At 47.9% G+C, this 23,027-nt stretch overlaps 1 long non-coding RNA gene, 2 other non-coding genes and 2 pseudogenes across 4 annotated transcripts in view, besides 7 other annotated features; 4 read left to right on the forward strand and 1 right to left on the reverse strand.

Annotated features, from left to right (window-relative positions):
- The window catches only part of LOC107985342 (uncharacterized), a 46,575-nt gene continuing 23,548 nt past the window's right edge, over positions 1–23,027 (forward strand). The window contains exons 1-3 of one of the 2 annotated variants that reach the window (XR_001753996.2): positions 1–230; positions 2,738–2,862; positions 22,536–22,892. This is a non-coding gene — a long non-coding RNA (uncharacterized LOC107985342). Of the gene's footprint in view, positions 231–2,737; positions 2,863–22,535; positions 22,893–23,027 lie in introns of those variants that run through there. The other variant, XR_007067332.1, reaches the window with a different exon arrangement.
- RNU6-698P (RNA, U6 small nuclear 698, pseudogene) lies at positions 5,638–5,744 on the forward strand (annotated as a pseudogene).
- LOC100288093 (nuclear RNA export factor 3 pseudogene) lies at positions 9,718–10,550 on the reverse strand (annotated as a pseudogene).
- Positions 12,294–13,183: an enhancer, noted in NCBI's record as "OCT4-NANOG-H3K27ac-H3K4me1 hESC enhancer chr19:54163595-54164484 (GRCh37/hg19 assembly coordinates)". NCBI's record gives its function as "activates a minimal SCP1, AML or CMV promoter by ChIP-STARR-seq in primed H9 embryonic stem cells {active_cell/tissue: H9 hESC(primed)}" and the evidence as "EXISTENCE:reporter gene assay evidence [ECO:0000049][PMID:30033119]".
- Positions 13,184–14,073: an enhancer, noted in NCBI's record as "OCT4-NANOG-H3K27ac-H3K4me1 hESC enhancer chr19:54164485-54165374 (GRCh37/hg19 assembly coordinates)". NCBI's record gives its function as "activates a minimal SCP1, AML or CMV promoter by ChIP-STARR-seq in primed H9 embryonic stem cells {active_cell/tissue: H9 hESC(primed)}" and the evidence as "EXISTENCE:reporter gene assay evidence [ECO:0000049][PMID:30033119]".
- Positions 16,666–17,555: an enhancer, noted in NCBI's record as "NANOG-H3K27ac hESC enhancer chr19:54167967-54168856 (GRCh37/hg19 assembly coordinates)". NCBI's record gives its function as "activates a minimal SCP1, AML or CMV promoter by ChIP-STARR-seq in naive H9 embryonic stem cells {active_cell/tissue: H9 hESC(naive)}" and the evidence as "EXISTENCE:reporter gene assay evidence [ECO:0000049][PMID:30033119]".
- Positions 17,556–18,443: an enhancer, noted in NCBI's record as "OCT4-NANOG-H3K27ac hESC enhancer chr19:54168857-54169744 (GRCh37/hg19 assembly coordinates)". NCBI's record gives its function as "activates a minimal SCP1, AML or CMV promoter by ChIP-STARR-seq in primed H9 embryonic stem cells {active_cell/tissue: H9 hESC(primed)}" and the evidence as "EXISTENCE:reporter gene assay evidence [ECO:0000049][PMID:30033119]".
- Positions 18,444–19,332: an enhancer, noted in NCBI's record as "OCT4-NANOG-H3K27ac-H3K4me1 hESC enhancer chr19:54169745-54170633 (GRCh37/hg19 assembly coordinates)". NCBI's record gives its function as "activates a minimal SCP1, AML or CMV promoter by ChIP-STARR-seq in naive and primed H9 embryonic stem cells {active_cell/tissue: H9 hESC(naive and primed)}" and the evidence as "EXISTENCE:reporter gene assay evidence [ECO:0000049][PMID:30033119]".
- MIR512-1 (microRNA 512-1) lies at positions 18,632–18,715 on the forward strand. Its single transcript, NR_030180.1, has one exon. It is a non-coding gene; the product is annotated as a microRNA 512-1 (primary transcript).
- Positions 20,221–21,109: an enhancer, noted in NCBI's record as "NANOG-H3K27ac-H3K4me1 hESC enhancer chr19:54171522-54172410 (GRCh37/hg19 assembly coordinates)". NCBI's record gives its function as "activates a minimal SCP1, AML or CMV promoter by ChIP-STARR-seq in naive and primed H9 embryonic stem cells {active_cell/tissue: H9 hESC(naive and primed)}" and the evidence as "EXISTENCE:reporter gene assay evidence [ECO:0000049][PMID:30033119]".
- Positions 21,110–21,207, forward strand: MIR512-2 (microRNA 512-2). The gene has a single exon (NR_030181.1). It is a non-coding gene; the product is annotated as a microRNA 512-2 (primary transcript).
- Positions 21,110–21,997: an enhancer, noted in NCBI's record as "NANOG-H3K27ac-H3K4me1 hESC enhancer chr19:54172411-54173298 (GRCh37/hg19 assembly coordinates)". NCBI's record gives its function as "activates a minimal SCP1, AML or CMV promoter by ChIP-STARR-seq in primed H9 embryonic stem cells {active_cell/tissue: H9 hESC(primed)}" and the evidence as "EXISTENCE:reporter gene assay evidence [ECO:0000049][PMID:30033119]".

Below are 23,027 nucleotides of genomic sequence, written 5' to 3' on the forward strand. Positions count from 1 at the left end.
AGGAGTTTCCGTGCGCCACGAGGCGCTGGCGCGCGTCTCCCGGCCCATCCACCCCGGGCCCGGCGACACCTTTCTTTGCCACCTGGAACCAACATCTTGGTTCCCTTTTGAGGGATCAGAACTTGTTTAATTGGAATACGGCAAAATTCTGAATTTTTCTGCCGTCTCTATTCCAACTTCAGAGTTCTGCCGTCCAGCCCTGCGACAATCTTCCGGTGCCAACGCGGCAGGTCAGTATGTATCCCCCACGATGCCCCCCGGGCCACGGGCCCCTAGTTAACAGGTTTCCCTTTCGCCCGCTGCCTGGAAGTATCGCCACCTCGCCCCGCCCAACCCCCCACCAGACAGCTCTGCAGCCACAGCCCCTCATCCAACCAGGAAGTCCAGGGCCCATCTGGCCCGCTAGACCTCGGGAAACCACGGCGTCAGAGCACCCATTAAGAGGGGTCCAGGCCGGGCGCGGTGGTTCGCATCAGGGCGCCCATTAAGAGGGGTCCAGGCTGGGCACGGTGGTTCCCATCAGGGCGCCCATTAAGAGGGGTCCAGGCCGGGCGCGGTGGTTCGCATCAGGGCGCCCATTAAGAGGGGTCCAGGCTGGGCACGGTGGTTCCCATCAGGGCGCCCATTAAGAGGGGTCCAGGCTGGGCACGGTGGTTCCCATCAGGGCACCCATTAAGAGGGGTCCAGGCCGGGCGCGGTCGTTCGCATTAGAGCACCCATTAAGAGGGGTCCAGGCTGGGCACGGTGGTTCCCATCAGGGCGCCCATTAAGAGGGGTCCAGGCCGGGCGCGGTGGTTCGCATCAGGGCGCCCATTAAGAGGGGTCCAGGCTGGGCACGGTGGTTCCCATCAGGGCGCCCATTAAGAGGGGTCCAGGCTGGGCACGGTGGTTCCCATCAGGGCACCCATTAAGAGGGGTCCAGGCCGGGCGCGGTCGTTCGCATTAGAGCACCCATTAAGAGGGGTCCAGGCTGGGCACGGTGGTTCCCATCAGGGCGCCCATTAAGAGGGGTCCAGGCTGGGCACGGTGGTTCGCATCAGAGCACCCGTTAAGAGGGGTCCAGGCTGGGCACGGTAGTTCGCATCGGAGCACCAGTTAAGAGGGATGCAGGCCGGGCACGGTGGCTCTAATCCGAGCACTTTGGGAGGATCACCCGAGGTGAGGAGTTCGAGAACAGCCTGGCCAACGTGGTGAAACCCCGTCTTTACGGAAAAATACAAAATTTATCAGGGCGTGGTGGCGGGCGCCTGTAATCCCAGCTATTCGGGAGGCTGAGGTGGGAGAATCGGTTGAACGCGGGAGGCGGAGGTTGCAGTGAGCCAGTGAGCCGAGATTGTGCCGCTGCACTTCCAGCCTGGGCGGCAGAGTGGGACTCCGTCTTGGGGAAAAAAAGGGTAGTCCAGGCCGGGCGTGGTGGCTCAGGCCTGCAATTCCAGCACTGGAGGAGGCCGCGGCAGGAGGATCGCTTGAGACCAGGAGTTAAGAGACCTGCCTGGGCAATATAGTGAGACCCCTGTGTTTGTTTGTTTGTTGAGACCCTTGTGTTAAAGCAAACTAAATATGGCCTGAGAAGGACTCCGTAATTCTATATTTGAGTCCTTGTGGATGAACTGCAACCTAACTTAATAGGTACAAAAGATTGAAAACCTAAGTTAGGCCCTGCGTGGTGGCTCACGCCTGTAATCCCAGCACTTTGGGAGGCCGAGGCGCGCGAATCACCTGAGGTCGGGACTTTGAGACTAGCCTGACCAACATGGAGAAACCCCGTCTCTTCTAAAAATACGAAATTAGCCAGACGTGGTGACTCATGCCTGTAATCCCAGCTACTCGGGAGGCCGAGGCGGGAGGATAGCTTGAACCCGGAAGGCGGAGGTTGCAATGAGCCGAGATTGCGCCATTGCACACTCTAGCCTGGTCAACAAGAGCGGGAAACTCCATATCAAAAAAAAAAAAAAGGAAGCCTAACTTACGTTTTATGCGCCTGTAACCGCCACTGAGTGTTGGCCAATCCCAGCAGCCCAGCAGCTGTACTTCATCCACTCACAGGCTGCTGAGCATTCAAACTGTGTTCAAATAAGGCAAACGCTGAGCGGTAACCAATCCAGCTCTTTCTGTACCTCACTTCCGATTTCTGTATGTCACTTTCCTTTTCTTGTCCATAAATTTGTTCTGACCACGAGGCACCCCTGGAGTCCGTCTGAATCTGCCGTGACTTTCGGAGCTGCCCGATTTGCAAGAGGTTCATTGTTCAGTTGAACTCCTTTACATTTATTTATTTTATGTATTTTATTTTATTTATTTTATGTATTTTATTTTATTTTATGTATTTTGTTATTTTATTTTATTTTATTTATTTTATTTTTATTTTGTTTCATTTTTATTTTTATTTTATTTTATTTTTATTTTCATTTTTTTGAGACGGAGTCTCGCTCTGTGGCCCAGGCGGGAGTGCAATGGCACCATCTCTGCGCACTGCAACCTCCGCCTCCTAATTCAAGTGATTCTCCCGCCTCAGCCTTACGAGTAGCTGGTATTACAGGTGCCCACCACCACACCTGGTTAATTTTTTCTGTTTTTAGTAGAGATGGGGATTCACCACGTTGGCCCGGCTGGTCTTGAACTCCTGACCTCAAGTGATCTGCCCACCTCAGCCTCCCAAAGTGCTGGGATTACAGGTGTGAGCCACTGTACCTGGCCCCCTTTAAATTTAATTCGGCTGAAGTTTTTCTTTTAACAGATGGTGTCAGAAGCGGAGTCCAGAGTAGAGCTTCTAGGAACCTTCGGGAGTGCTGAGTGAACACGCAAGGTGCCTGCGGAACCCACTTGTGTCCATTGACCTCTCCGAGTGGCCGGGGATCGTGGGTAAGTTCCCTCTCGGATTTCAGAGCTCCACAGATTTGTGTTTTGAGCTCTCCGAGTTTCATTGAGCAAATATCTGATCCAAACTGGGTTTGGAAGCTGTGACAGAAACTGGACTGGTTCTGGGAATGGATCTGATGTGGTAATTAGCTGGCTTGGACCCAGTTAGAGGCCTCTTACATGTGACTGGGTCAGAAAGAAACTGGTAGCAAATGGTAATATTGCAGGAGGTGTAAAATTTGGCTTTTAAAAATTAACAGGGATGTTTGTGTTCTACCCCTTTGTTTCATTTTTCTTGTGCACTTAGGTATTAAAAAAAAAATTACTGGGTAAGTTAATCAAGGGAACCTGAGAGTAATGAATGCCAATATTTTAGGTAAAAATGGGATCTTTTTTTTTTTTTTTTTGAGATGAAGTCTCGTTTGGTCGCCCAGGCTAGAGTGCAGTGGCGCGATCTCGGCTCACTGCAAGCTCCACCTCCCAGGTTCACGCCATTCTACTGCCTCAGCCTCCCCAGTAGCTGGGACTACAGGCGCCCGCCACCACGCCCGGCTAATTTTTTTTTTTTGTATTTTCAGTAGAGACGGGGTTTCACTGTGATGGCCAGGATGGTCTTGATCTCCTGACCTCGTGATCTGCCCGCCTCGGCCTCCCAAAGTGCTGGGATTACAGGCATGAGCCACCACGCCCTGCCAAAAATGGGATCCTTAAATTCTGAAAAACTGAGTTCCTTCTGGCTTATACATTAGGCACGGGAAGGAGCAAAGACTTACAGAAATGGCAAAATCTGCCTGAGCGTGGTGGCTCACGCCTGTAATCCCAGCACTTTGGGAGGCTAAGGTGGGTGGATCACCTGAGCTCAGGAGTTCGAAACCAGCCTGGCCAACATGGTGAAACCCATCTCTACTAAAAAGACAAAAATTAGTGGGGCGTGGTAGCTTGTGCCTGTAGTCCCAGCTACTTATGAGGCTGAGGCACGAGAATTGCTTGAACCCAGGAGGCGGAGTTTGCAGTGAGTGGAGATTGCACCACTGTACTCCAACCTGGGTGACAGAGCGAGACTCTGTCTCAAAAAATAAAAATGGCTGGGCGCAGTGGCTCACGCCTATAATCCCAGCACTTTAGAAGGCCAAGGCAGGTGGATCACCTGAGGTCGGGAGTTTGAGACCAGCCTGGCCAACATGGTGAAACTCTGTCTCTACTAAAAATACAAAAAATTAGCCAGGTGTGGTGGCATGCACCTGTAATCCCAGCTACTTGGGAGGCTGAGGCGGGAGAATCTTGAACCCAGGAGGCTGAGGTTGCAGTGAGCCAAGGTTGCTCCATTGCACTCCAGCCTGGGCAACAGGAGCGAAACACTGTCTCGAAAATAAATAAATAAATAAATAAAAATTAAAAAATTAAAATGAGGGCTCCCGAAAGTTAAATCTGCTAATCTTTCAGCTTCGTTACTATCCTGATCCAAAGGAAGCAGACTGCAGCACCAGTTGGCTGACTTTGGATAAGTAATGGGGTCCATTTTACCTGAGTAAAGTATGGGATGGGGTCAGAGGCCCTCCCCTCAGTAAAGTCCCCCTTGGTTAAAAATGGGTTAAAGATGACAGGGCCCAGCTGGGGTCAAGTTTGAGCCTTGCGAGTTCAGTATTGGGTGCTAAGCACAGTGGCCAGTGTCTGTGTTTTGTCACGTATTTTGCTTTGGCGCCATGATGAAAAAATGTTAATTGGCTTACCCCACGCAACCCCTTCGGCCACACTTGCAAAACTAAGAGGCTTTTGCTTAAGGTTCCATAAAACAGAAAAAGAATTTCCTTTGTGATGCCGCAGGCTTGGCCCTCAGGACTATAGTGTGGCAAGCAGAGTCACTAGGACCACCTGGGCAAAGGGAACCTAGAAGCCTGGCATGCTGGCAAAAGGTAAAGTATTTCTTACCAATTAGACTGTGGCCCCTCTGTGCAAACTGGTTAGATGAACGGTAAAAATCACTGTTTATCTCCTCTGTAATGCTTTGATTAATACAAAAAAGAATTCTGAGGTTGGTCTTAGGAAGCTGTAATAAATCTGGTATGCTTTGTGTCTTTCTGTATTCTGTCACGAAGAGGGGTACCTTCGGATGAAATGCGTGCCCAGGGCCGCATAAGCCCGCTGTTCAAGACGGCCCAGCAAACTGGTCAATCATGTCCTTGGAAGCTTAACCTCCTAATACCATGTGGCCCTGCTTTCTCTTTTCACAACGGCAGGCCAGGTTCAGGGTTCCATTCCCGGCTTACTCAGCGAGTACTTTCTGGTGTCACCTTTACCATGTGTTGATTCTCTTCCCTCTGTTTCTTATAGAACACAGAAATATTAGCTGTTTGGCCTAGCCAAGGTTGGGTAATAAAAGATTTAAAAGGACTTTTTAAAACAAGCGCTATAGTTAAAACTCAGGTACATTAAAAGTGGATATTTGGCCAGGCATCGTGGCTCATGCTTGTAATCCCAGTACTTGGGGAGGCTGAGGCAGGTGGATCACTTGAGGTCAGGAATTCAAGACAAGCCTGGGCAACATGGCATAACTCTATCTCTACTAAAAAAAAAAAATTAGCTGGGCATGTTGGTGCACGCCTGTAATCCCAGCTATTCAGGAAGGCGGGAAAATTGCTTGAACCCGGCAGGCGGAGCTTGCAGTGAGCCAAGATTTCACCACTGCGCTCCGGCCTGGGTGACAGAGCGAGACTCCGTCTCAAAAAATAAAAATAAAATAAAAATAAAATAAAATAAAATAAATAAAATAAAAGTGTAGTGCTCGCTTCAGCAGCACATATACTAAAATTGGAATGCTACAGAGAAGATTAGCATGGCCCCTGCACAAGGATGACATGCAAATTCATGAAGCGTTCCATATTTTGTGCATCCTGGCAAGATCATTTCTGTATCTGCTAACTAGCACTAAAGAAATAGTGTGAATCTAAGCAAAAATGAGTGGCACCCAAAAACAAAATTGTGGTTTTCATTAAAAAATATAAATATTTATATAATAAAATATATATGATATATAAAAAATAAAATATGTATAATAAAATATACATAATATATATAAAATAAAAAAGTATATAAAAAATATATATGTGTGTGTATATTCAAATTCTTTTTTTTTTTTTTGAGACGGAGTTTCACTCTTGTCACCCAGGCTGGAGTCCAATGGCACGATCTCGGCTTACCGCAACCTCCACCTCCTGGGTTCAAGTGACTCTCCTGCCTCAGCCTCCCGAGTAGTTGGGATTACAGGCACCTGCCACCACGCCCAGCTAATTTTTGTATCCTTAGTAGAGACAGGGTCTCGCCATGTAGGCCAGGCTGGTCTGAACTCCTGACCTTGGGTGATCCACCCGCCTCGGCCTCCCAAAGTGCTGGGATTACAGGTATGAGCCACCGTGCCCGGCAATGTATATATTCAAATTCTAACAGCCTGGGACTCCTTGGGAAAAACAGGAGGCACCAGAGACGCCATTTTGGAAAAAAACCTGTTTTCCTCATGGAACCACAGGAATTGGAAATGGATAGATTCCCCTTCAGAAATCTAAGGCTCTGTTCTTTTTGGGATTCAGGATCTGGTATAAAAATGGGACCCTTAATTTTTGGAGACCTGTGTTGCTTTCTGCTGTGCCCACTTATTATATTGGGCCCTAGAAACTGCATGCTTTCCTGGTCCTTTTTGTCCAAGGACTCCACCCTAAAGCCAGTAATCTCAAATAAATAAATAAACACCTAAATCAAATATTTTGAAAGAACAATAAAAACTAATGCCTTTTAGTTCACATAACTTTAGTAATCTTTGGGAAATAAAAAGTTTTAAAGATTATTGGGAAAAATGAAGACATTTAGTCTAAATTAGGCAGGTCAGATATTAGGTTTGTTCGATGCTTTAAGGTCATCAACTGCTTCTTAGGCTTTTGAAAATTGTTCAGTTTACCTACTTGGGAGCATTAGATTCTAGATAAGGCCTGGGAACATGTGGAATTAGCCATGCACTCTATCTATGCAAAGGTTATAAAGAAAAGAGATTTTTTTTTTAATTAACAAAAACCACAGGTGGTTGTGCTCCGCCTACCCAGCACAGCAGGTGAGATGGTGCACCCTCAGTGGACTGAAGAGGCCATGGGATCCCACCTCAGCCGGATAGCACGCTGGCCTTCACCTTCATTGTGCCATGGCAGCTTTCGTGTGAGCCACTGACTCGTGTACATGTTAGACTCCTTGGTCTATAAGAAAGCATCTTGTATGGTAAATTGTTGTTCTAAAGTAAAATAACTGGTTTGTTCAAAAAGGGGATGCTAAGGAGAAGTCAGAAAGTCAAAGCATGTTGTAGATGGTCTGGGAAAGTCGTGAAAGGGTTCGTGAAAGGAAATTTAAGCCACCAAAAGTAAAAGTTGCTAGTTACCATTATAACATATGATTGAAACTACTGAAAAAATAGTTTTACATGGAAAGTGTGTGAGAAGAGTGAAACATGTTTTTGGTAAAATATTTTTAAAAGGCAGGAGAATGTCAAATTTCACCTAGTTGAGAGGGTTATGTGATTTTTAAATTAGATAAGAATAAGCTCACGGTTTGAACAAGTTGTGGAAGGTTTGTAAAAACTAATCTTGCAAAAAAAATTCTGTGTGCAAACACGTTGACTAAATTTAAAGGGGTATTTTCCAGTTTTCCATAAATTAAACATTGAAATGAAAGGACAAACAGGGTTTCTTTTTTTGTTTTTTTGTTGCCCAGGCTATGGGCAACTATGTAGCTAGGCATGTTGGTGCATGCCTGTAATCCCAGCTACTCAGGAAGCTGAGGCAGGAAAATTGCTTGAACCCAAGAGGCAGAGGTTGCAGTGAGCCAAGATCGCACCACTGCATTCCAGCCTGGGTGACAGAGCAAGACCCTATCTCGAAAAAAAAGAAAAAAGAAAAGCAATAGCTCCCTGGGTGTCAGGTATCAGTGAGAATGGGAAGTCAGGTCTTCTCTGACTCCTAGGACATTCCTCTCTCTGTCTTTGGGGGTTGAATTCCTTGTTAGAACTCCATCTTGTTAAAGGGGCCTCGCACCTGCCCTTGCCTTCTGCAGCAGCCCTCCTTAATCCTCTCCAAACTTCCATCTCCAGACCACCGGATTCTCCTCATGAGTGCCCTGGGTGGACATTGGTGAAAGGTCACTGCCTTCAGGACACACCATAGGTACAGTCACCGAGGTAACCCAGTTCAAAGAAGAGCAGGATGTTCAGTATTTACAAAGGGATCTAGCAATTGGTCCAAACCAGTCAGTGCTGGCATGCACCGTTCATCGTGCCATCAGTGGCAAGATGGAGATCTGGCAATGCATGGCTCACAGTAAGATACACGCCCTGTGCCATTCCACCCTATCATTAGAAAAGGAGTCTTCTTTTTCTTTCTTTCTTTCTTTTTTTTTTTTTTTTGGAGACAGGGTCTCACTCTGTTGCCCAGGTTGTAGTGTAATGGTGCAATCTTGGCTCACTGCAGCCTCTGCCTCCTGGGGTCAAGTGATCCTCTCACCTCAGCCTCCTGAGTGGCTGAGATCACAGATGCCAGCCACCACGCCTGGCTAATATTTTTGTTTGTTTGTGTTATGTTTTTTGAGACTGAGTCTTGCTCTGTTGCACAGGCTGGAGTGCAATGGCGCAATCTCGGCTCACTGCAACCTCCACCTCCCTGGTACAAGCAATTCTCCTGTCTCAGCCTCTCAAGTAGCTGGGATTACAGGCGCCTGCCACTACGCCCGCCTAATTTTTGTATTTTTAGTAGAGACGAGGTTTTGCCATGTTGGCCAGGAATGGCCAGACCTCAAATGATCTGCCCGCCTAGGCTTCCCAAAGCGCTGGGATTACAGGTGTGAGCCACTGCACCCAGCCAATTTTTGTATTTTTTTTTTTTTTTTTTTTTGTAGAGACAGGGTTTTGCCGTGTTGCCCAGGCTGATCTCGAACTCCTGACCTCAGGTGATCACCTTCCTTGGCCTCCCAAAGTGTTGGGATTACAGGTGGGAGCCACCATGTCCAGCCGCTTTTTCTTTTTAAAAAAAATTTTTTTTGACATAACAGACAACACCACTCTCTTTTATTTTTTTATAGAGACGGGGTCTCATTATGTTGACCAGTCTGGTCTTTTTAAATTTTATTTTTTTGAGATGGAGTCTCACTCTGTTGCCCAGGCTGGAGTGTAGTGGCGGGATCTTGGCTCACTGCAACGTCTGTACCCCAGATTCAAGTGAGTCTCCTGCCTCAGGCTTCCAAGTAGCTGGGATTACAGGCTCATGCCACATCGCTGGCTAATTTTTTTTTTTTGTATGTTTTTAAATTTTATCTTTTAAGTAGAGACAGGGTTTCCCCATGTTGGCCAGGCTGGTCCTGAACTCCTGACTTCAGGTGATCCACCCTCCTCAACCTCCCAAAGTGCTGGGATTACAGGCATGAGCCACCATACCCAGCCTTCCTGCTATTTTTGAACTACCTGTACCAGGCTGGTTTCTCTGGGTGAGGGGAGTGGTCAGGCAGAGGCAGGCCCCGTCATGGTAAGCAGCTAGGAGACTGCTAGAGATTGACAGGGCACTCATGAGTGCCCTGGGTGGACACTGGTGAAAGGTCACTGCCTTCAGGACACACCATAGGTACAGTCACCAAGGTAACCCAGTTCAAAGTAGAGCAGGATGTTGGGTATTTACAAAGGAGATCTAGCAATTGGTCCAAACCAGTCAGTGCTGGCATGTACCGTTCATCGTGCCATCAGTGGCAAGATGGAGATCTGGCAATGCATGGGCTCACAGTAAGATACACGCCCTGTGCCATTCCGTAGACGTAGATCAAGCGATTATTACTGCAGAAATCTCCGTGGACGTAGAGCAAGCAATTATTACTGCAGAAATTGCAGGAGCAGGTTCTGCAGCATGTCACATCCAAAGAAGCTTCCCTTGCAAGTTGGTAACCTTGAGGGCTTCAATACCACACAGAGTTGGTCTAGGTGATGGCTGACCATCCAGGCATAATAATTTGGGGAACAATTCCAGGATGGAGGTTATGTTGCTAGACTTGTTTGTCCGGGAAAGTGGTAGACAGGAAGTTCCTGTCTGCACACGTCTCCTGGCTCCAGCCCTTTCCCCTGTCCATCTGTCCTACAGACTCCGCCTCAGGCATGTTGTCTTGGAGGACGTGCAGAAAGGCAGCCATGCACTTTCTAGGTTTCGATGCCGTCTTAGAGTCACTGGTCACCAGGTCTGGGTCAAACGGGAGTCTCTGGCTGTCAAGACTGGACTGGGAGGAATCACATCGCTTCTTCACCATCAGCTTTATCTGCTTTGCCTTTTCCGACTTCAGCTTTCTCTGCAGGGGGTATCAGTGGGGTTGACAAAGATTGACATCTTTTTGTTATCCTCATCCCTAATCTTGCCACTGACATTCTTCAGTGCCTAGGCGATGCTGGCATTCTCCACAAAGATGTGGGCCTGCATTTTCTCATAGCGAAACTGAATCAGGAGGAAGGGGCATTGCATTGACTCTGAATCAAATTCAGCAGCCACTTCTCATTTTATGCAGATCTTGAACTAGCAGCTCCCTAAGGTCCGATCTGGCCTGTTTCCCTCTGTTCTTTTCTCTGGAGGTTTTTGGCGCTTTCTCTGTGTTAACATGGGTTTGGTCTTGTTTATGGCAAGTGCCTCTCCATGGCTGGGTGCGGTGGCTCACGCCTGTAATCGCAGCACTTTGGGAGGCCAAGGCTGGCGAATCACCAGAGGTCAGTTCGAGACCAGCCTAGCCAACATGGCGAAACCCCGTCTCTACTAAAAATATAAAAAAATTAGCCAGGTATGGTGGCGGGCGCCTGTGGTCCCAGCTACTCAGGAGGCTGAGGCAGGAGAATCGCTTGAACCCGGGAGGCGGAGGTTGCAGTGAGCTGAAATTGTGCCATTGCACTCCAGCTTGGGTGACAGAGTGAGACTCTGTTTAAAAAAAAAAAAAGTAAGTAAATAAATAAATGTTGATATTATGTAGCCATGTTATGTAGTTTTGCATAGCCTTTCTCTGTCTTATAGCTATGAAAGACAATTTCCAAAACATAGCCTAGAATGGAGAATTGAAGATAAAGTGAGAACTGTTGGGCATAGTAACCTAAAAAGGGATCCCCTCTGGTGTGGAAAGATTGTTCCAACGCAAAAGGGACTGAGATCCAGAGATGGCAGTTGTTTGAGATCTGGAATCTTCAGAAGAGGTAGATCAGACTTGCTCAGGAAATAATGGGTCCTACCATCACAGCGGGTACGGATGGGGCTACAAGATGAGAGAGGCTGGATAGGAGAGTATTTAAGGAAAAAAAAAAGACAGAAAAGGACCAAAGGACAGTCTGTGAGACCCCAGAGAATGCATTAAACCTGAAGAATTTCTGAACAATGACGTCTGATATTCAGGCTTCCGTTGTTTCTTTTTGTGCTGTAATCTTCCGTGTTTTCTCTGCACATAGCTCAGTAAAGCTCTATTCACCAGTTAACCTAGAGTCTGTCTTGAGATAAGCAGGGAGGGCTGTGACGGCTGCACAAGGGCGGAGTGGTTTGTAGACCTGAAAAGGAACTTGTAAGAGCTGGCAGATCTTAACCAGGAGAGGGAGCCCCTTTCCACAGCCTAGAAGCTTCTGAAGTCATTTAAATGGAACTGAATTATATGAAGTCAAATGTCAGTTGGGGAAAAAGTCAAACTTTATTATTTATTTATTTATTTGTAATTGTGCGTATACATATATATATATATATATATATATATATATATATATATATATATAATTTTTTTTAAATTATGATCTCCGTGATAGTACCAAATCAAACTTTTTTTGGAGACAGAGTCTTGCTCTGTCACCCAGGCTGGAGTGCAGTGGCGTGATCTCGGCTCACTGCAACCTCCGCCTCCCAGGTTCAAGCAATTCTCCTGCCTCAGCCTCCTGAAGAGCTGGGATTACAGGCGCGTGCCACCATGCCCGGCTAATTTTTGTATTTTTAGTAGAGATAGGGTTTCACCATGTTGGCCAGGCTGGTCTTGAACTCCTGACCTCAGGTGATCCACCCGCCTTGGCCTCCTAAAGTGTTGGAATTACTGGCATGAGCGACCACGCTGGCCCAAACCCTGCTTTTTACTGGAGAGACGAGGTAGCCCTAAGTTAAAAAAAAAAAAAAAAAGACCCTGTTTCACTTCTTTTGGATATACCCGGGGTGACATTGCTAGATCATTCTGCAATTCCTCCTTTTTTTTTTTTTTTTTTTTGCTGGGGGTGGGATAGAGTCTCACTCCCAGGCTGGAGTGCAATGGTGTGATCTTGGCTCACTGCAACCTCCGCCTCCTGGGCTCAAACGACTCTCCTGCAGTGAGGAGCTGGGATTACAGGTGCCTGCCACCACAACCTGCTAATTTTTTTTTTATTTTTTGTATTTTTAGTACAGACGGGGTTTCACTATGTTGGCCAGGCTGGTCTTGAACTCCTGACCCCGTGATCCGCCCGCCACAGCCTCTCAAAGTGCTGGGATGACAGGCATGAGCCTCCGCGCCCAGTAGATCATTCTGTAATTCTGTGTTTAACTTTTTCCCCCCTAAACTTAACTGAAGTGATATTTAACTTTCTGAGGAATCACCAAATCAAAGGTGACTTTTGAGACAAATACAGGAAGTGGAGGTGGTTTTCCTCATGTAGATGAAGACATTCTAAACCCAGAACTGAAAACACACATGGAATCCTTTTAAGTATCAGGATGCCTTGGTGGACAAAATGGATACATCCAACTTCTCAAGGAGCTTAATATTCAGTATTAAAGCTGAGGTGAGCTCAGGTGATTCACGCCTGTAATCCCAACATTTTGGGAGGCCAAGGCAGGCGGATCACTTGAGCCCAGGAGTTTAAGACCAGCCTGGGCAACATAGTGAGACCCCTCCCCCCTGCCCCCGTCTCTACAAAAAATAAAAAAATTACAGACGCATGGTGTAGTCCCAGCTACTTGGCAGTCAAAGGTAGAAGGACTGTTTGAACCCAGGAGTGGGTTGAAGCTGCAGTGAGCCTTGATTGTACCAGTAAACTTTAGCTTGGGAGGCAGTTGAGACCCTGTCTCAAAAAAAAAAAGAAAGGAAGAATTTCTCTCTCCCAACTTCCCTTGGTTTCTCCTCGCCCCCCGGCTAAAAAGTGATTGGGGACCTTTTAAAAAACTTCCTGCTCTCCACAGAATGGGATTACAGCCCCGAGATGATCCATAAAAGATTTTCAGGAAGAATGAAGAGTTTAGGGAGTGAAGGTTCTAAAACAGTAAATAGAGTGTCACAAAGAAATCCATTCATCTCTTTGAAGGCTGGGTATTTGGAAAAAGAGAGAAAGAAAGCTTCATTCAGAGAGCGCTCGCCTGTATTTAGGGGTGTTTGGAGGGGGCGGGGTGACTATAGAATTAGGGTAAAGTTCAGTGTCTTGCAAATCAGCCCTGAAATAGCCCTGATCCCTGCAGGCCTGTCTGGTTTCCCAAACCCTCCACTAGCTTTCAAATTTGCATTAAAAAGCTTTTGGCTTGTTCATTCTGTTCTTTCTTTCTTTTCTTTCTTTTATTTATTTATTTTTTTTGAGACGGAGTCTGGCACTGTCACCCAGACTGGAGTGCAATGGCGCGATCTCCGCTCACTGCAGCCTCTACCTCCCGGGTTCAAGCAATTCTCCTGCCTCAGCCTCCCGAGTAGCTGGGATTACAGGCGCCCACCGCCACACCTGGCTTATTTTTTTAATTTTTAATAGAGATGGGGTTTCTCCATGTTGGCCAAGCTGTTCTCAAACTTCTGACCTGGTGATCCACCTGCCTCAGCCTCCCAAAGTGCTGGGATTACAGGCGTGAGCCACTGCGCCAGGCCCTCATTCTGTTACTTCTTTCTTTCTTTTTTCATTAATTTAAGTTCTGGGATACACATGCGGGATGTGCAGGTTTGCTACATAGGTAAATGCGTGCCGTGGTGGTTTGCTGAACCTATTGACCTAGGTATTAAGCCTCACAGCCATTAGCTATTTGTCCTGATGCCCTTCTGCCTCCTGCCCATTCTTTGTTATTTCTTCATATTCCAATTAATGTTCATTTTGAGGACCTGGCTCTGGCCAGGCAAGGTTCCAGTCTGGAGTCAAACTGAGGAAAGTATTACCTTTCACAAACACTTAGACCACGTTGGGAGGGGAGAATGATTGTCCTCCACATGCGTATGGGTGTGTTATAAACCCCAGGAAGGTAAATACTAAGCAAAGGCGTGCACAGATAATTATTGCAACTGATGATTCCACGTCAATTGTACTGTACTGTGAGTAGGTTTATAGGCTGCCGTGACAGGGGCCATCACCTGGGTACGAGGGTGCTGGCTTCCTCTTGAAGACGTGACTTTAAAATTGTGAGTTGAATAGATGCAAGGATATTGGCCCAGTGGAGGAACTTTGAGGGGAGGGGGCAGGGTATCCTGGTTGGGAGGAAATTACATACAGAAATTGGGGAGTGGTGACAACATTGACTCTTCCAGTAATTGTCTGGGTGTGGTAACTCAGGACTGTAATCCCAGCACTTTGGGAGGCTGAGATGGGAGGATTGCTTGAGCTTGGGAGTTCCAGATCAGCCTAGGTAACACGAGGAGATCTAAAATTGAAAAAAAACGTAGCTGGGTGTGGTGGCTCATTCCTATAATCCCAACAACTTTGACTCAGGAGGCTGAAGTGGGAGGATCCCTTAAGGTCAGGAGGTTGAGGCTGAAGTGAGCTAGCACTTTGGGAGGCCGAGGTATGTGGATTACTTGAGGCCAGGAGTTCGAGACCAGGCTGGCTAACATGGTGAAACCCCATCTCTACTAAAAATAAAAAAATTAGCCAGGCATGGTGGTGCGCGCCTGTAATCCCAGTGACTCGGGAGGCTGAGGCAGGTGAATCACTTGACCCCTGGAGGCAGAGGCTGCAGTGAGCCAAGATCATACCACTGCACTCTAGCCTGGACAACCAGAGTGAAACTCTGTCTCAAAAAAACAATAATAATTTTAAAAAAATTTTTTAAATAAAAAAATTAACAAATGACCCGCACATCTGGGGTGAAGTAAGACGAGGCTGGCAGCATAGCTCTGTCACCTGTGGTTAGGATTAATTAAGCTCAGCTTTAAAGGCTGGATCTTGGCCTCCTGGGTTTTAATTTTGACTTCTCCACTTCTCAGCCATGTTTTGTTTTGTTTTGTTTGCTTGAGGAGGGACAAATCAGGCCAGCATTGAGCCTCTTTCCCCCGTGTGTCAACTGAGATTGATAATTACAAGATTAAATGATGCTTGTCTGTGATTTTAGCATCTGTTCAGCCCATCATTCATTTCAAGAGTATTGACTGGGCTTCAGGGTAGGTTCCATGTTAGTACTGGGGACGCCGTGGGTGGGAGGGAGACTGGGTCTCCACCCTCCTAGAGTTATAGTCTAGGCCTGCGGTTAAGCAGATTTTTGTGCAGGAATCAAACCCACTACACTACCTGTCAGAAATCAAGCCCTGTTCCAGGCACTGGGAAACTCAGAATTTAAAGGGGATGTACCAGGTCTCTGTCCTTGCGGAGCATTATCGATCAGTAGAAGAGAGAAAATAAACAAGCAAACACCTGAGACAATTGTAATAGCAATAATGTGATATCAATAAAATGAAACAGAGCAACAGAAATAGGGTAGATGGGCCGGGCGCGGTGGCTCACCCCTGTAATCCCAGCACTTTGGGAGGCCGAGGTGGGCGGATCACGAGGTCAGGAGATCGAGACCATCCTGGCTAACACGGTGAAACCCCGTCTCTACTAAAAATACAAAACATTAGCCGGGCGTGGTGGCGGGCGCCCGTAGTCCCAGCTACTCGGGAGGCTGAGGCAGGAGAATGGCGTGAAGCCGGGAGGCGGAGCTTGCAGTGAGCCGAGATGGCGCCACTGCACTCAAGCCTGGGCAACAGAGTGAGACTGTCTCAACAAAAAAAGAAAAGAAAAGAAACAGAGTAGATGGTCTTAGAAATGACAAGGAATCCCAATGAGAGGTTCTACCTGGGACAAAATAGAAAAATGGGAAATCATAATAAGCTCTGGAATTGGGGCAGTGGTATTGTTTATTTCCTAGTTGTGGCAAATCTAATGTAAAATATGGACATTAAAGAAAACTGGGTGGAGAACATAGAGAACTTTCTGTACTTTTTGCAACTTTTCTGTAAGTCTAAATTTATTCGAAGGCCGGGCGCAGAGGCTCCTGCCTGTAATCCCAAAACGTTAGGAGGCTGAAGCAGGTAGATCACTTGAGCTTGGTAGTTTGAGACCAGCCTGGGCAAAAAAGTGAGACTTCATCTCCATTAAAAATTTAAAAAATTAGCTGGCTTTGCTGGTGAGCACCTGCACCAGACTGGTTAGCCTGGGCAGCATAGTGAGACCCCGTTTCTATAAATAAGATAAAAATCAGCTGGGTGCCAGGCGTGATGGCTCATGCCTGTAATCCCAGTGCTTCGGGAGGCCGAGGGGGGCGGATCACCTGAGGTCGAGAGTTTGAGACCAGCCTGACCAACATGGAGAAACCCCGTCTCTACTAAAAGTACAAAAATTAGCTGGGCGTGGTGGCACGCGCCTGTAATTCCAGGTACTAGGGAGGCTGAGGCAGGAGAATCACTTGAACCTGGGAGGCGGAGGTTGCAGTGAGCTGAGATCACTCCACTGCCCCCCAGCATGGCTACAGAGCAAGACTCCGTAGCGGGATATTGCATGCATGTAATCCCAGCTACTCTGGAGACTGAGGCAGGAGAATCATTTGAACCTGGGGGGCGGAGGTCACAGTGAGCCAAGATCATGCTATTCCAGCCTGGGTGACAGAGTGAGACTACCTCTCAAAAAAAAAAAAAAGAAAAAGAAAAAGAAAAAGAAATGCATTTACAGAAGCTAGGAAAATCAAATTCAGGGAGGAGGCTGGAGGGCAAAGAGTGGGTGTGGCCAGACTTTAATCCATTCTCCATCTGTGGGGTGGTCCCTAGGGTATAAAAGAGCTCCAGGGCCCCTGCCCTGCCTTTCATCCTCAGGATGGGAAGTCCTCACAGAGTTCAGTAAGTATTGGCTTCCCATGGTGTTTCTGCACTTCCCCCGGGGTCATATGAGCCTCACATTTAGGTTGTAAGACTCCCCCTAAAATCTCCAACACTGAGTCCTCTCTATTTGTAGTCATGACTCCGACACCTTGATTCTCTGCCCCTAATACTCTTTTTTTTTTTTTGAGACGGAGTTTCACTCTTGTTGCCCAGGCTGCAGTGCAGTGGTGTGATCTTGGCTCACTGCAACCTCTGCCTCCCGGATTCAAGCAATTCTCCTGCCTCAGCCTCCCGAGTAGCTGGGATTACAGGCATGCACCACCATGCCCAGTTGATTGTTTTTGTATTTTTAGTAGAGGTGGGGTTTCACCATGTTGGCCAGGTCTCAGACTCCAAGCCTCGAGTCATCCGCCCTCTTCAGCCTCCCAAAGTGCTGGGTTTACAGGTGTGAGCCACCATTCCTGGACCGCATTATTGATTTTTTAAAATTTTTGGATTTTGTTCAATTAGTGATTGAGTCTCACTGTGTTGCCCAGATGGGCTTGTCTCCCAGGCTGGAGTGCAGTGGTGAGATCGTGACTCACAGTAGCCTCAACCTCCCTCACCCCAGCGTCCCGTGTAGTTGGGATGGCAGGCATACAGGACCATGCTTAGCTAATTTTTTTTTTTTTTTGTAGGGTTGGGGTCTCCCACCATTGTCTAGGCTGGTCATCAACACCTGGGCACAAACATCCTCTCACCCCGGCCTCTGAGCCACTGCACCCAGTAGGTTTTAGGTTCATTTTATTTTTTATTTAGGTGTCCACAAAGGCAGCTTTTTCCTTTTCTTTATTTTTTAAAGAGACAGGGTCTCACTCTGTTGCCCAGGGTGGAGTGCAGTGGCCAGATCTTGGCTCTCTGCAACCTCTGCCTTCCAGACTCAAGTGATCCACCTTCGTCTCCAGAGTAGCTGGGACTATAGGTGTGCACAAACACACCCAGCTGAGTTTTAAATCTTTTGTAGAGAAGGGGGCCTCAGTATGTTTCCCAGGCTGGTTTTGAAGTCCTGTGCTCAAGCAATCCTTCTGCCTTGGCTTCCCAAACTGCTAGGATTACAGGTGAGCCACCACACCGGGCCTGTCCACGTAATTTAAAAGGTGCTGGACGTGTGCGGTGGCTCACGTCTGTAATCCCAGCACTTTGGGAGGCTGAGGTGGGCGGATCACGAGGTCAGGAGTTCGAGACCAGCCTGGCCAATATGGTGAAACCCTGTCTCTACTAAAAATACAAAAATTAGCCAGGTGTGGTGGCAGGCGCCTGTAATCCCAGCTTCTCAGGAGGCTGAGGCAGGAGAATTGCTTGAACCCAGGAGGCGGAGGCTGCAGTGAGCTGATGATCGCTCCATGGCACTCCAGCCTGGGCAACAGAGCAAGACTAAGAAAAAAAAAGAAAGAAAAAGAAAAAGAAAACAAAGTAATGTAAAAGGTGTTATTCAGGCTGGGGACCCCCAAAGTGCTGGGATTACAGGCATGAGCCCCAGGGCAGGCCTAGGATTTGCATTACAAGGCTCTGCATTGTTCCTGAGAACTGGAGAGAGTGCTCAATCTACCTTTCGCTATTGAGCAACATTCAGAAGTCAGTTTTAAATCTCTTATCTTCTGCATAGAGGATGTGCCTGCAGTTTCCAGGTACTGGACAATACAGGGAGGGTACTTCTCAGTCTGTGGCACTCAGCCTTGAGGGCACTTTCTGGTGCCAGAATGAAAGTGCTGTCATAGCTGAGGTCCAATGACTGAGGCGAGCACCGAAGAAACACCATGGGGGGGAGGGGGGGCGGGGGGCTCCAGGAGCCACTGCAGGTAAAAGCTAAACCGTGGTGCTTGTTCTGCGCCATAAACTGGACTTCAGCCCAGCTTTAAGGAAATGACCACGGTCTCTGGGTTGTGAGGCTGGGTTCCGTAGCAGCTATAATGCTTGGATTCAGGGATAGCCTGGGTCACACCATTGCCAGAGAAGAGGCAACCAATCCAGACCCCAAAAGCGGGTTCTTGGATCTCTTGCTGGAAAGAATTTCGAGGCAAGTCACAACACAGCGAAAGAAGCAAGCTGAGGCCTGGGCTCAATCCTCCTGCTTCGTCCTCCCAAAGTGCTGGGATTACACGCATGATCCCCTGTGCCCTGCCAATATTTGGTAATTATAACTGGTGGTCAGCTTACAATGTGGCTATTTCCAGACCATAAGTACCAACTCTATAGGTGCCTTGTGAGTGAGTGCCTTGCTACTTCAAGCAGTTACTTTCGTGTGTTATTAAACCAGAGGCCTGCTAAGCCTCTGTGCCTAGTAAAGATTACAATTTGGAATGTCAGCCCCCAGCTGTCCTGTGTGATTGGCAGGTTAGGTCCTTGTTGAACCAGAAGCAACTGGCCAGTCGTACAGATGCAACTTTCGGACCAGTAGAAAATTTCTATGTCAACCTGGAGACATAGGGATTGTACCTTTCTGATACCCTATTAGTAAATAAATAGTATTTATTTATAAATTATGTATAATAGTATTTATCTGAATATATCCCAAGCAGCCCAAGTGTGTTCCAGACATAACATTTTTATTTACATTTAAATATCACTAAGATTAGAGATACACATCTAACTCAGGTTTTCAACTAGTCTTACCATTGAAAGAACTATTGTGGCAGGACGCAGTGGCGCACGCCTATTATCCTAGCACTTTGGGAGGCCGAGGAGGGCGGATCACAAGGCCAGGAGTTCGAGACCAGCCTGGCCAGCATGGTGAAACCCCATCTCTACTAAAAATACAAAAAAATTAGCTGGGCATGATGGCACAGGCTTGCAGTCCCAGCTACTCGGTAGGCTGAGGCAGGAGAACTGCTTGAACCCGGCAGACGGAGGTTGCAGTGAGCCGAGATCGCGCCACCGAACTCCAGTCTGGGCAACAGAGCAAGACGCTTGTCTTAAAAAAGAGAGAGAAAGAACTACTTGTTCTCTGTAAGCCATGCTGGTTTAGCCAAAATGCTGCAGTTGTGTATGGCCAGGGACGTTGAGGCTGCAGTGAGCCGACGGCTGTGTTGCCGCTCTGCAGTCTGGGGGACAGAGCAAGAACCTGTCTCAAAAAAACAAGAAGTTAGTGAGACAGACATGCCGTTCTGTTACTTTTCCCCTTGCTGGTTCAAAGCTAGGTAGTTGCCAATTAAATGTAATCTTGTAGAGCAAAAATGTTTTTCATTTTTTGAGACAGGATCTCACTCTATTGCCCAGCCTGGAGTGCAGTTGTGGGAACTCACAGCAACCTCCACCTCCTGGGTTTAGGCAGTTCTTCTGCATCAGTCTCCCGAGTAGCTGAGACTACACCGGTGCCCAGAGGGCAGTGGCCAGATCTTGGCTCTCTGCAACCTCTGCCTTCCAGATTCAAGTGAGCCACCTCCGCCTCCTGAGTAGCTGGGACTATAAGTACGTACCACCATACCCAGTTAATTTTTGCATTTTTTGTAGATAAGGGGGCTAAGTATGTTTCCCAGGCTGGTTTCGAAGTCCTGTGCTCAAGCAATCCTTCTGCCTTGGCTTCCCAAACTGCTAGGATTACAGGTGAGCCACCACACCGGGCCTGTCCACGTAATTTAAAAGGTGCTGGACGTGTGCGGTGGCTCACGTCTGTAATCCCAGCACTTTGGGAGGCTGAGGTGGGCGGATCATGAGGTCGGGAGTTCGAGACCAGCCTGGCCAATATGGTGAAACCCTGTCTCTACTAAAAATACAAAAATTAGCCAGGTGTGGTGGCAGGCGCCTGTAATCCCAGTTTCTCAGGAGGCTGAGGCAGGAGAATTGCTTGAACCCAGGAGGCGGAGGCTGCAGTGAGCTGATGATCGCGCCATGGCACTCCAGCCTGGGCAACAGAGCAAGACTAAGAAAAAAAAAAGAGAAAAAGAAAAAGAAAACAAAGTAATTTAAAAGGTGTTATTCAGGCTGGGGATCCCCAAAGTGCTGGGATTACAGGCATGAGCCCCAGGGCAGGCCTAGGATTTGCATTACAAGGCTCTGCATTGTTCCTGAGAACTGGAGAGAATGCTCAATCTACCTTTCACTATTGAGCAACATTCAGAAGTCAGTTTTAAATCTCTTATCTTCTGCATAGAGGATGTGCCTGCAGTTTCCAGGTACTGGACAATACAGGGAGGGTACTTCTCAGTCTGTGGCACTCAGCCTTGAGGGCACTTTCTGGTGCCAGAATGAAAGTGCTGTCATAGCTGAGGTCCAATGACTGAGGCGAGCACCGAAAAAACACCATGGGGGGGAGGGGGGGCGGGGGGCTCCAGGAGCCACTGCAGGTAAAAGCTAAACCGTGGTGCTTGTTCTGCGCCATAAACTGGACTTCAGCCCAGCTTTAAGGAAATGACCAGGGTCTCTGGGTTGTGAGGCTGGGTTCCGTAGCAGCTATAATGCTTGGATTCAGGGATAGCCTGGGTCACACCATTGCCAGAGAAGAGGCAACCAATCCAGACCCCAAAAGCGGGTTCTTGGATCTCTTGCTGGAAAGAATTTCGAGGCAAGTCACAACACAATGAAAGAAGCAAGCTGAGGCCGGGCGCGGTGGCTCACGCCTGTAATCCCAGCACTTTGGGAGGCTGAGGTGGATGGATCACCTGAGATCACTATTTTTCTTTTTATTTTCTGAGATGGAGTTTCACTCTTGTTGCCCAGGCTAGAGTGCAATGGCACGATCTCGGCTCACAGCAACCTCTGCCTCCCGGGTTCAAGCCATTCTCCTGCCTCAGCCTCCGGAGTAGCTGGGATTACTGGCATGCGCCACCACGCCCAGCTAATTTTGTATTTTTAGTAGAGACGGGGTTTCTCCATGTTGGTCAGACTGGTCTCCAACTCCCAACCTCAGGTGATCCGCCCGTCTCGGCCTCACAAAGTGCTAGGATTACAGGCGTGAGCCACCGCACCCAGCCTGTTTTCTGCATTTTTAGTAGAGACAGAGTTTCACTATGTTGGCCAGGCTGGTCTCAAACTCCCGACCTTGTGATCTGCCCGCCTCGGATTCCCAAAGTGCTGGGATTACAGGCGTGAGCCACCGCGCCCGGCCTTATTTTTCTTTTTTTTTTTTTGAGACAGGATCCCACTCTATTGCCCAGCCTGGAGTGCAGTGCAGTGATCTCAGCTCACTGCAACCTCTGCCTCCCGGGTTCAAGCAATTCTCCTGCATCAGCCGCCCAAGTAGCTGAGATTACAGCCGTGCCTGGCTTATGTTTTGTGTTTTTAGTGGAGATGGGGTGCCACCATGCTGGCCAGGCTGGTCTTAAACTCCTGACCTCAGTTGATCCTCCCACCTCAGTCTCCCAAAGTGCTGGGATTACAGGTGTGAGCCACCGCGCCCAGCAAGCATAAGATTTTTTGACACATGGAGGATCACTTGCTGGATGTGCACTGAGAAGTAATGTGCCCATTTCCCAGCCACACTCTCCCAAAGGCTTTTACAGGCGCTGTCCCCGTGAGGTGGTAGAACAGAATGTCAGAATTCAACACATTCCAACACTGTCTTCTGTTGAGCTGTAGGAGGACTGCCTGTGGAGGGACATGGGTTCTATGCTACCTTGCAGGTTTTCCCTGGGGCTTGTGATCACTGTCTCCTTGGTGACATGCAATCTGGGAGTGCTTTCTGGAGTCTGATAAGAACATACTGGCACATTGCCTGTGACGTGTGGGACCCAGGCATTTTCAGTGCTGAGGTGAGTCCTTGATTGTAACTGATGGGGACTGGTATCTTAACTCCAGGTTACTGAAGACTAGGAATTTCTTGCCTTACAGTAAAATTGCAAAGAAGAGTAGCATAAGAGGTAGATCAGAAGACTGCAGAATAGATTAACAAATGAATGCCCAAATGAGGATGCTAAACTTGGATTTGCATCAAGAAGACAGATATTGGTCGGGCGTGGTGGCTCACGCCTGTAATCCCAGCACTTTGGGAGGCTGAGGCGGGTGGATCATCCTGGCTAACACGGTGAAACCCCGTCTCTACTAAAAAAATACAAAAAAATTAGCCGGGCGTGGTGGCAGGCGCCTGTAGTCCCAGCTGCTGGGGAGGCTGAGGC

This window comes from Homo sapiens, chromosome 19, assembly GCF_000001405.40.
Source record: "Homo sapiens chromosome 19, GRCh38.p14 Primary Assembly".
Lineage (NCBI taxonomy): Eukaryota > Metazoa > Chordata > Mammalia > Primates > Hominidae > Homo > Homo sapiens.